The 12,135-nt window shown below is 45.3% G+C and overlaps 1 long non-coding RNA gene across 5 annotated transcripts in view, besides 1 other annotated feature; it reads left to right on the forward strand.

Moving 5' to 3' along the window:
• The window catches only part of LOC105373592 (uncharacterized), a 530,486-nt gene that overhangs the window by 319,223 nt on the left and 199,128 nt on the right, over positions 1-12,135 (forward strand). Inside the window, exons 4-5 of one of the 5 annotated variants that reach the window (XR_923280.3) lie at positions 600-649; positions 970-3,509. The exons of 3 other annotated variants lie outside the window; for them this stretch is intronic. This is a non-coding gene — a long non-coding RNA (uncharacterized LOC105373592). Of the gene's footprint in view, positions 1-599; positions 3,510-12,135 lie in introns of those variants that run through there. One more of the 5 variants, XR_001739685.2, reaches the window with a different exon arrangement.
• Positions 144-344: a silencer, noted in NCBI's record as "peak3842 fragment used in MPRA reporter construct". NCBI's record gives its function as "represses an SCP1 promoter by STARR-seq MPRAs in K562 erythroleukemia cells {active_cell/tissue: K562}" and the evidence as "EXISTENCE:reporter gene assay evidence [ECO:0000049][PMID:32103011]".

Genomic DNA, 12,135 nt, shown 5'->3' on the forward strand with positions numbered 1-12,135 from the left:
CTTATCTCAACAGTTGAAATGTTTTTACAAAGGTTTTGAAGCATTAAAGATAATGAGTTATTAAGAACTAGATATTTGATTTAAGGATCACACTTTTTTGCTCTTTTGACTCCATATCAACATTCTGCAGCTGGTAGGGCTCCTTCCATTATCTCCATTACCCAGATGGGGAAACTCTTTAAATGCCTCTCTTAAGATCCACTGTGTGATTTAGTAAAATATTGGGTCTAGAACCCATATCATTAACTCGCACCTGTCTGTGAAATCTGTGAACTTCTGGTGCCGATGATATTATGAATCCCTCCAAGTAGAGGCGTGGTCTTCAGTCACCCAGAGGAGGTGTTCCAAACACCACTGTAGCACCAGCCTGCCTGGGGCTGCCTCCTGATCCTGCTGCATCCTAGCTCAGTGAACTGCAACAGAATGGGGGACCGATCTGGCCTTGGATTCTACATCTGTAAAATTCATGGGGTTTTGGTGAGAACTGAGTGGTCAATACAAATGAAGCCTTTCACATAGAGCCTGGCACGTAGAAAGACCTCAAAAATGATATTTGATACAGTTATTCATTGCAATTGCCATTGTTGTTGCTTTGTTAGGAAGATGATCATTCAAGAGGCCTGAAGGAAGACTTGTGTTGGAGCCTAAGGTAGAAATATAAAGGTTTTGAATGTTATTATTGTTGGAAATACAATTAATTTTCCCCAAAAGCTCTGAATATATGATGATTTAATACCTTTATTTATGCTGAGTTATTTATGTTATAGAACTATAAATCCTGAAAAAACCCTAAAAACCTGTTTTTGTGTTGCAAGTAGATAAGAAGTTTTAAAATCCAGAAAAGAATAATTTTTCCCATGATATAAAACGGTTGAGGAATAAAATTCCTCTCACTTTAAAATAAATAGGAAATACATACACTTTATCTTAGTTCTTTCTTCACAGCTCATTTTATTTCTTTGGATTCAGGATTAAGCACCAGAATCCACCAGGTTGAAGTGGTCAGAAATCTTCAGTTGGGCACCTTGGTGAGGATATATTATATTAGTAATTTGTTTTTTTAATGCACATACTTTTTTTGAACTGGAGAATCTAAAGGCATTTTAATGTTTTCAAGTAAAAGAACTGTACTCGGTAGTCTTAGACTGCCTAAGAAAACATCCCCTAGATTCTGTGCTGGGAACGTGGCTAGGGGTTCAAGTCCACATCTGGACACAATGATCACCCTATCACTAAAAAAATCCCAATCAAATGGCAAGCAAGCAAACAAAAACAGACAAGCCAACCAACCAGTCAAACAAACAAAAAAACTCACAGAAGGGTGGAAGAAAGCTACGCTCCAGGGAGTTCCTTATGTTAAATTTTTATATTCATAATATACAGTGAAGGTGAGAACATGATTTTTTTCCTTTACACAGACGCTTTTCCTCATTAGACTTTGAGATTTGATTTTATTCTTCTATGAGTTAGATTTTTATCTCAAATGGTAGAAAAGGTGACACAAGTGTATCTGTGGATAGATGGTTAGGTGAACTTAGAGGATGCACATGGCAGAGTTGTGTGTGTGTGTGATGTGTGTAGTGTGTGTGTGTGTGTGTGTGTGTGTGATGTGTGTGTGTGTGTGTGTATGCAGAGGAAAACATTTCTTTGAGCTGAAAACACATTAACTCTGTTTATTCAAGCCAAACATGAGCCTGTGTGCTCCTGTCACTTTGAGGTAGTGGAACATCCTCTAGTGTCTTTTTTATTATGGGAACAGTTCCTTTTCTGTAATTGAAATGTCCCATCTAGGCAATAAAACCATGAACTTGTTTCAAAGTTAAATCTTCTGCTGTCCCTCTGCTGGGACCTCCTTTAGAACAGAAAGACTGAAGTTGGTTGGACACACGATGGCTTCTTTCTGCTTCCCCAGCCTTATTCTTGACTTCTCCTCCACTGTCCTCCAGCTGTGGCTCCTGATGCCTGCAGAGTTGGAGGTGGAGGCAGAAGAGAGCAGAGATGGGGCAGAGAAGGCCTCCCTTGGCTGGTGCAGATTTGATGTGGCATTGGGGCCATCTGGATGGCTGCTGTACAGCGGCCACCTTATCTTCCCCTGGGGCTCCCCGGTGACTTTCCGTAAGGTTCCCTGCTGGGCACTTCAAGCTGGAGTTCTTGTGCTATGGGTTTGATCTCCTCCCCAGTTGGCACTCGTCACTTACTCCAACCCTCTGCCCCTTTCGTGGACCCTCTGGCCTTCCAGGAAGCCTTCCTGGGCAGTTGGCTTCATTCATCCCTGCCCTACTGTCTTCGAAAGTGCAGCTCACCCCAATGCAGTTTTTCTCTCCTTCACCTTTGCTGATGTAGGTCAAGAGCCTCTCACCCCTAGATCTCTCACACTTGTCTGCCATAGACTTCACAGGACTTACAGGGCCACCTTTTTGGGCATGCAGCCTGGACAACTGCACAAGGCACTGCACTCAGAAGGCGCTTGTTCTTGCTTTAATGATCTGGTGTTGCCATCTTGAAGTTTTTGATAATTTTTTTTGAACTTGTGTTTTACAAGTGAAATCTAGTGGGACAATGGAGTATGCACACATCTGGGGATGCCCCATTCACACACAGGATTCATGATGCCCATGAGTGCAGAATTCTGGTGAGAGTTCAGAGAGACTCTAAGCCAGTACAAGGTATTATGGAAACTGCCAGCTTCCATAGAGTGCTGGCAGAAAATGCACATATTAAGAGTGAAATAGAAACAGTTGAGTTTGTTCTGTGCAGGGTTTCCACTCTTCTGGTCAGAATGAAATAAAAATGCATGTATAAGCTATGAAATACAACTGTATTTGAAGTGACTTCACATGTGAGTTCAATGCTCTTATATTTGCACTTATAACTGGCATTGTTCAATGTAAAGAGAAATGATAACATTCATGTTAATAATTTTAAATTATGATTTTTCTTCACTTAGAACAACATTAAATGTGTATGTGTACAGGAATATGTAGATGAAACTTAGCTTTTTCTGCATATGAATAGCAAGGCTCCAGAGAGTTTCTTACATCTTCATATTTATAATGTACAGTGGAAACACAAATGTGTTGTTTTCCTTCTACACAACCCCTCTCCCTCTGCATTAGACTCCAAAATTTGATTTTATTCTAAAATGGGTTAAGTTTTACCCCAAATGGTGAAATAGGTGACAAAATTGTGTTTGTAGAAGATGAGATGAACATCCACATGCAGAGGTGTGTGTGCATGCCTGTGTGTGTGCACACGCACAGGGACACACACCACTTTCTCAGCAGCATTGTTTTTAGTATCCCCTGCAGGGAGGAGTCATGAATGATATTCCAAACGCATCTCAGTCTTCTAAACACTTAAATCATCTGCTCTCCTAATAGGATCTCCAAGCTGAGAAGTGATTGCTTCCATTGGCCCTGAACAGAATATTAAATATATTTGATCTTCAGAGCACTTTATCCCAGAGTAGGTCTATGAAAAATCGAAGCAAATTATATTTGGCTTAGGAATGGGTGGGACTTTTTTCTAAACACCTAAAGCAGTGTTTTTTTTTTTTTTTTTTTTTTGTGAGACAGAGTCTCATTCTCTTGCCCAGGCTGGAGTGCAGTGGCATGATCTTGGCTCACTGCAACCTCCACCTCCCGGGGCACGCACCACCACACCTGGCTAATTTTTGTATTTTTAGTAGAGACAGGGTTTCACCATGTTAGTCAGGCTGGTCTTGAACTCCTGACCTCATGATCCACCCACCACAGCCTCCCAAAGTGCTGGGATTACAGGCGTGAGCCACCATGCCCAGCCTAAAGCAGTGTTTTTAAAGTGTGATTTACCAACAACTTGTACCAGAACAACCTGTGAAGCTTGCTCAGTAAAATCATGTTTTCTGGGCCCCTCTCTAGATCCATCAAATCAGGAAATCTGGAAGTGAGGCCAAGAAAGCTTTAGCAAAGTCATCAGGGGTTCTTATTCACATCAAGTCTGAGATGCAGTGATTCCCAAGTGGCCTTTCTGACAGCTCTGGGTGAGAGGGCCTGGTTCCTGCATGGGATGCTTTGGATTGGGTTGTCCTCAGGTGCATCTGAACTTGTGAATTAGAATTGGCAGCTAAGAAAACCAAGAGAGGAAAATACACCATTCAGAAAGACTCCTCACCTCCTCTCCTCCATCCTGCCAGGGCCAATGTGGCCAGAAGCCCAATTTTACCCATTTAATGGAGAAGATGGAAAGTGTCTGGGCATTTTGTCACTGTGAGTATGAAGAAAAAAATAGTGATTTTCCCATCTGAGTATTTCTTTGAGGAACGTTCAGTTTAGTGGGGTTCTTAGATGTTCCCTGGATTCATTCGTTCGTTCCTCCATCCATTCTTTCATGCATTCAGTGAACATGTATTAATTGGCCCTATGCCAGGACCTGGGCCAGCCAGAGGTGCGTGTGCATGCCTGTGTGTGCGCACATGCACAGGGACACACACCACTCTCTCGGCAGCGTTGTTTTTAGTACTCCCTGCAGGGAGGAGTCATGAATGATATTCCAAACGCAATCCAAAGATAAACCAAACAGAGCCCGTGTTCAAGTGTGAAGGTGGATGATCAGAAGGTGCAATGTGTTATTCTATGACAGCAGTGAACCCACCTTTAAAGCAGACTGGCACCATTCAAGGCTTTCCAGAGGAGGCCACACCTGGACTGGGCTTTGAAGAGTGAGTAAGAGTTGGCTGGGCAGGGTGAGAAAGGCACTTGAGGCAGAGAGTGGTGTGTGTGACACAGAGTGCGAAACAGATTGGGGCTTAGGGACTGTGGATCATATTTTATGACTGGGAGAGCAGCAGGAAACAAGGCTAGACAGCAGGGGTGTTCTGATCCCCTAGGGTGTCATGTGTGGATTTAAGAAGTAAGAGTCTGTCTCTCAAAGTTGTACAGGGGTGCTGATGGGTTTGCAAAGGGGAGAACAAGATAAGATTTGGTCTGGCAAAGTCTACTGTTGCTGTCACTTGCAAAGGAGCAGAGAGCAGAGAGACCCATTAAGAGATAAGTCCTGGCCAGGCACAGTGGCTCATGCCTGTAATCCCAGAACTTTGGGAGGCCAAGGTGGGTGGATCACGAGGTCAAGAGTTCAAGACCAGCCTGGCCAATATGGTGACATCATGTCTCTATTAAAAATACAAAAATTAGCCAGGCATGGTGGCGTGCACCTGTAGTCCCTGCTACTCAGGAGGCTGAGGCAGAAGAATCGCTTGAACCCGGGAGGTGGAGGTTGCAGTGAGCCAAGATTTTACCACTGCACTCCAGCCTGGGCGACAGAGTGAGACTCCGTCTAAAAAAAAAAAGAGATAAGTCCTGAGTTACAACAGTGGTCTAGAAATAGAGGGAAATGGCTGATAAGAGAGACATTAATCTACAGAACGCAGTAACTGACTGGACACGGGCAAGGGATGAGATGAAGGAGTCAAGAATAACACACCTGGGTTTATGACCTGGACAACTCGGTGGGTGTTGTCATGCAAGATAAAGGAATTAGGAAAAACAAGTGCTTGTTGAAGAGGAAGAAGGATGATCAAGCTCATTTTGGACTCGTGCCTCTGGCATACTTGGGAGAAGATATCTAGTAGCAGGGGAATCACAGGGTTGGAAGGAAGGAAGGCGGTCAGGGCTGAAGATGTAAACGTGGGAGCTATTGCGGGAGCCTGAGGCCCTGTGAGGACAGAGTGAGATGCATGGAGTGGACTTGGAGTGCCAAGCCCAGAGGGGTAGCATGGAACCTGGGGGCAAACTGAGAAAGAAGACCCAGGAGGGAGGCTTAGAACTACTGGGCAGAGAGGACGGACATTTGGTGACTCTGACATGGATGGGTCCATCCTGTTTGGCCACTTACTTGCCAAGTATTTCCATGTAGTAGGCCCTTGGTGACTTCTGTTTTCACCACGAGCTACTTTCTCTCCTTTCTGCTCTAACCTAAGGACCACAGGCAGACATCCCTGGCAACAGAAGAGTCCTAGATGGCCCTTCCTATGAGATCAGGCTTGATGACTTGAGTGAAGTCCAGCACCCTTGTGACTGCTTGGCACTGGTGGCCAAGAGAGGGAAGTGTAAGGAGGAGGTGGGTTACTCATCTGTGTGGCCGCTGGGCAGACACAAGGAAGTGAGTTCAGAAGCCAGAACCCCGTGTCAGAGGTGGCCATGAGACCACCAGAGCCTCTGTGAACCCCCATCTCAGGCACTTGTCATGCTTCACAGCGAAGGGAGGCAGTGTGAGGTAATGGGCAAGTGCCCTGGCTTTGGGGTTAGATCTCCCTGTTATACTTTCTAACCCTGTAACTTTGGGAAAGAAGTTACTTTAACTTCCTACATCTCAGTTCTCTCCTCTCTCTAAATTGAGAAAATACATAGTCCCAGGGTTGTCCTGCAGATTAAAACAGGTAAGTATGCCTCTATGAATCCTCCAGCACAGTGCTTTGGCCAGGGTAGCAGGTGTTCAGGACATGACAGCCACCTTCTCCCTTCCCTCTTTCCTCAGCCCTGGGCAGAAGCATGGTACTCACCTGCAAGGGGTTTTGAGTGTTTGGGATGAGACTTAACACTTGAGTCCATGAGACGAACATGCAAGACAGGGTGTTTCAGGAAGAGGAACAGCAAAGGCTAAAGTGAGGAGCTGTGGAAGGGCATGGCAAGTTTGAGGATGGATAACTAAGCAAGTGATGTGGTGACAATGTCATAAAACATGGCTGGAGATGAGCCTGGGAAGCTATATATGGAGCTAGATTTTAAAGAGCATTGAGAGCTCTGCCAAGGAGTCTTACTCAATCCCGTAGGCTATGGCGTTCCTGATGGGATGGGAGATGGGGGTGATACTACATCATCAGTGCCTTAGAGTCATCATTCTTTGACAGCTTCTAACAAGGAACAGTTCTACGGCTCTACAGGGAAGCTCTTGTGGAGGAATTTTAACCCCCTGATAGCCAAGGGAGAGAAACATATTGGAGGGAGAGGCTGAGGGCTTCCCAGGACCCCATCAACTTAAATTACCAAACTGCTTATAGCTAAGACTCCATTGCTTGGTAACCAACTGACCACCATGGCCTCAGAACCTGGGCGCTTTGACAGCTGGATTCTTGACATCCATTGATCTCAAGCTAGAAACCTATTACTTCATCATCTTCAATGTGTTTCTCAATGTCTCCTTTCCTGACTGTGGAAGGCAGGTAAATTATGTGCTTATTATGTGTTTGGCTCCGTGTCAGGCCTTCTGCCTTGAATTCTGTGCTGTAATTCTCATAACCACATTTCAGGACTGATACCATTCCCTATCTTACAGTGGAAATACCAAGACTCAGAGAGATGAAGCAGTTTGTCCCTAGTCACTCAGGTTATAAACGGTGTGGCCAGGATTCACACCATGGCTTTCTGACTATAAAGACCTATTTATTTTACTGCCACTTCCATCCATCCTCTGTCCTGTGGCCAAAGCACCCTAACATGACTTCCTGTGCTTGTGGTCCTGGGGCAGGTTTGGGTGCCTGGGAGGGTGGAGGAAGGGAGGGAGCAAGCTCATGGTGGGACCATCTACAGACATCATTGTCCTGGAGGGTTTGTTTTTGGGCAGTCTCCATTCATTTTCAAGGTTTTGTGAAGAGCTGGTGCTTTAACAAATCTGCAATTCTAAAGGCATCAGAACTCTGCTGAAAAGGAAGTGTTCCAATGTTCTGTAGGTCCAGCGGATCTCTGGTTCAGGAAACTCATGACTCTGGCAGGGCTGCTGATGTTCACCTTGCATCTGCAGGCAATGGCCATTGGAGGCATCTCCTCAGCCTTCAAGGAATCTGGGGGCTGTCGACATAGCTGGGACTTCGTAAGCCATGCTGAATGTGGCAGCTTTTCAGGCAAGGAACCCGGGCCAGAAACATTCATAATTAGCTGTGTATTAGCCCAACCTCAGGGACTAAAAAGCCAGGTTGAGGCCAATTCTGGAGAGATGGATGTGCTTCCCGCCTCCCCACCGGCAGGCAGCTGTCTACGGAATGGCAGGGGGAGGTGGCACAGAGCAAAGCCACCTGCAGGCTCCCTGTCCTTCAAACCCATGGGAGATGATGCTGCCCTGCAAAGGATAGTCATGGCTACTCTGCCACCCTGCATGCCTCAGTTTCCCCCATCCCCTACTATTGTACAGTACTGCCTTGAACAGGAAAAATGATGCCTTTTAGGTGAGGAAAAGGAGTAACCACAGCCTTGGTAAGAGACTGGAGGGAGGAGCCTTGAGGGATGGGGGTCAGCCTACAGTTGCGGAGCCCCACAAGCTCTGGTAGAGACCGTGTGGGTCTGAGTCCACAGCTTCCAGATTGCATTGGGAGAGAGAGGCCTGGCTGTGCCCTGTGTGTGGCAAGTGAGTGATGGAAGGTTGAGGATGAGATAAGTGCTCTGGGTTCTGCTTCTCTTTCTGGGGCTGAGCTTGCTCAAGAAGGGACAAAATCATAATCAAAGGTACAATTTGGATTCTCTAGAAATTTCAGCATCTGTCCTCCTGCAGGCCTCTGCCTCCACTGCCTTGCCTGCACTGCCGCCCCTCAGCACCTTCTGGCCTTTGTCTCTGTGGACCTCCAGCAAGCCTTGCTTGATATAACCTCCTCTTACTCCATGTTCTTCTTGAACAATGTCCAGTGTTGTCCCTTCCATCACGTGGGAAAGGAGAAAAGGGATGGAGCATGTTCCCCACATCAGTGCTTAATGGTTTGCATTGATTATTTCAGTTAATTCTAAAAATAATCCTATATGGTATGTGCCATTTAATAGACTGGGAAACTGATGTTCATGAAGTTTGGGTAATTGACCAATATCTTTTAGCTGGTGATTGACATTTGAATCCACTTCAGAGGTTGTATAACACTTCCTTGCACCAGGGAAAGAGATCCAGTGTTGGGGCATTTAGCTTCCTTTCCTCTCCCAGAGAGGCCTCCTTCCAGAGACTTACAAAGGAGTGGGGTTCCTCACCTCCCCAGGCACTCCTTCCCTGCATAGCATCAAGAGGTGTCCCTGTGCAGATAAGAGTCTGGCATAGGGGTCACTTTGTGTCTCACTTCTGTCTCTTTCTAGCTGTACAACACTGATAGAGTTACTTCACTTCTCTTGGTCTCAATTTCCTTATCACTAAAGGGAACTGCAGGGGTAGATGGTAATACCCCATAGGATTATATTGAGGTTTAGAGCAAAGAGTGTGTGCAGCATAACTTGTACTGTTCCTAGCATTGAGTATATACCAATGAATGGAAGTAGTCATTGCCAGGCAATTCTTCGGCACATCAGGTTTAGTTTGATCCATATCTAGGAACACCTGAGTGCTGAGAGGTACAGATGCTGTGTGATGTAGTGGAACAGCCACTGGACCCAAGTTGGAGCAGTCAGGTACATGTCTTGAATCAGCCACCTGCTAGACTGAGAGTGTGGATGAGACATGAAATCACTCCAAGCCTCACTTTCATCTTCTGTAAACTGGGAGCTTGGCAGTGACCCCTGTCCCATGTGCTGACCTCATAGGGCTGTTTGGAGGATCTACAAGGTGATGTCCATGCCAGAGTTGTATGTAGAGGAGTTGTTAGTGCTACACAAAACTGGGACAGGATCCTGTCCCCGCCGCAGAGGAATGCTTGGTGTGATTGGCGATACTCAGCTAAGAAACTCGGGCAAAACATTGGTATCACACCAGGGCTGACGTGATGCTACAGACAAAGATGGAAACTCTGGCCCACAGCCTGCTGCTGGAGTAAGGCTTGTTTGGATTTGCGGGTCCTCACTGCAGATGGAGGAGCTCAGCAAAGCTCTTGAGGAGATTTTTGCTTTCAGGAAACAAATTCAATTCCTATCTTTGGATTTCTGTTGTCTTTTAGGGCCAGCTGGGTCTGCCTGAAATCTTGGCTGTCATTTGAGGATATTTCCGTGCATGTGGAGATTATTCCAAAAAAGGCTTCCTGCTTTTTCTTCGCTCCTTCTTGCCTTTTCCAGCTCATCCCAGTGTTTCCAAGGGAAGGGAAAGCGGAATTTGCTCTGTTCATCCCTGTATATGAGGCGTGGCATTAGTGTGCATATGTTTTTCCGTTTCATCTTCACAACATTGTGACCTGGTAGATATTATCATCAGTTTACAGATGTTGAATGAGAGTCAGAATCAGTAAATTTAAAGGAGAACTTTATTCCTGGGTTCGCATGCATGAAACGTATGACAACATATGACCTGTGTTCACTTTGGGGTGGAGAGTTAACATTTAAATGTATTCTATCTGGATCATAAAGATAGAAAGGTGTAATGGACTACAAGCCCACCCTCTGGGCAGTCTTAAGACACCAGTCCAAACCTGTTCGCAGCCATCCATCCATCAAGAAGGAAGTCTCTGTGGCCCAGGGTGGCTGTCAGGTCAGAACCATACAAACAGGAGGAAGGCACTGGGTGGTCGAATGAAGTAAGTGAAGTCTTCTGGCTTGACTTTTTGTCCTCCTCAAGTCAGCCTTTGATTAAGATCTGCCAATGATGAGTAAGGTAAAGGGACTTGCAGCAAGCGGGGCGCATCTGGTCTCTGTCCTGTCATGGTCGGGAACTTAAAACTCTACAGTCTTTTGGCCAAAAGAGGGTTCATCAGTCCATTGAAGCCATGTAGGACTTTTATTTCAGTTATCACAGATGAGGAAACTGAGGCTTGGGGAGGTTGAAAAACTCACTCAAGGGTATAAGTGCAGGAGCTGGTAAGCAGCAGTATCAGGCTTTAAACCATCCTGAGCTTCTACTTCTATGCTTAGCTCTGTATTTCCTCCAGAAGGCTCCCTCCATCCTGTGCCTTGGAAGACCTCACACAGCTATGAGGTCACACATCTTCCAGCCTTTACCCCATCAACACACTGACTCCTACACTGCCTGCTAGCATACCATGTGGGGGTGGCTTATGTGTGGCATTTGTGAAGTTGGTTGTTTTGAAGCAGGACCCAGGGAGAGTATAGTTCATTTTTATAAACAGATAAGATCCTTGAGGATAGGATTTATTTATTCATTGAACAGATATGAATTATGCATTTACTGCGTGCAGATACCATTCTAAGCACAGGGAATAAAGCAATGGGCAGAAGAGACACATTCTGTTGTTTTCCTGAAACTTATATTTTAGTGGAGAGCAGACAGAGAATGTAACTAACCACAAACTTACTAACTAGCCAGCTAACCAACATGTATAGTTTGCTAGGTGGTAGAAGTGCCATGGAGAAATAGAACAAGAAACGGACAGGATGGGAAGTATCACTGGGGGAGGTGTTTACCATTTAAAAAGGTAGTGAGGTTCAGACACAGCCTCACTGCAAAGTGACATTTGAACACAATCTGAAGGAGATAGGGGACAAGCAACAGAGATAATGGGAGGAGCCTGGAGGGCTTTATGCTAAGTGAAATAAGCCAGGCACAGACGGAAATACTGCATGATCTTACTTGCATGTGTACTCTAAAAAAAATCGAACTTACAGAGGCAGAGAGTAGAGTGGTGGTTACCAGGGACTGAGGGCTGGGGTTCAGGAAACGGGGAGATGTTGGTTAAAGGGTGCAAAGTTTCAGTTAAACAGGAAAAATAAGTTCTGGAAATCTATCGTACAGCACAGTGACTATAATTAATAATAAACTGCCCAAAGAATAGATTTTAAATGTTCTCATCTCAAAATTGAAAAGCATGTGAGGTGATGGATATGTTAACTAGCTTGATTTCATCATTCCACAATGTATACATATTTCAGAACATCATGTTGGACACCATAAACATCTGTCAATTAAAAAAATTTAAAAGAGATAGAATGGGATGAGCACTCTAGGAAGAGCACTTTGCAAGTGCAAAGGCCCTGAGGTAGGAGGTGCAGTTCTGTTTATTAGTGGAGGGTAGGCTGATGGGACTGGCATGGACCAAATGGGACAGGTGTGAGAGACAGGCCAGAGAAGTGACAGGCGGGATAGATGAGGGGAGCTCCAGGTGGACATAAATCATCCTGTTTAATTTGTCCTTTGTTGTGACCAAGACAGGGAGTTAGAGGAAAGTTCTGAACTGAGGAGTGACATGACCTGAGTCACATTTTAACAGGATCCCTCTGGCTGCTTCACTGGGAAATACCAGAAGGAAGAGGT

The sequence above is a fragment of the Homo sapiens genome, chromosome 2, assembly GCF_000001405.40.
Source record: "Homo sapiens chromosome 2, GRCh38.p14 Primary Assembly".
Classification (NCBI taxonomy): Eukaryota; Metazoa; Chordata; class Mammalia; order Primates; family Hominidae; genus Homo; species Homo sapiens.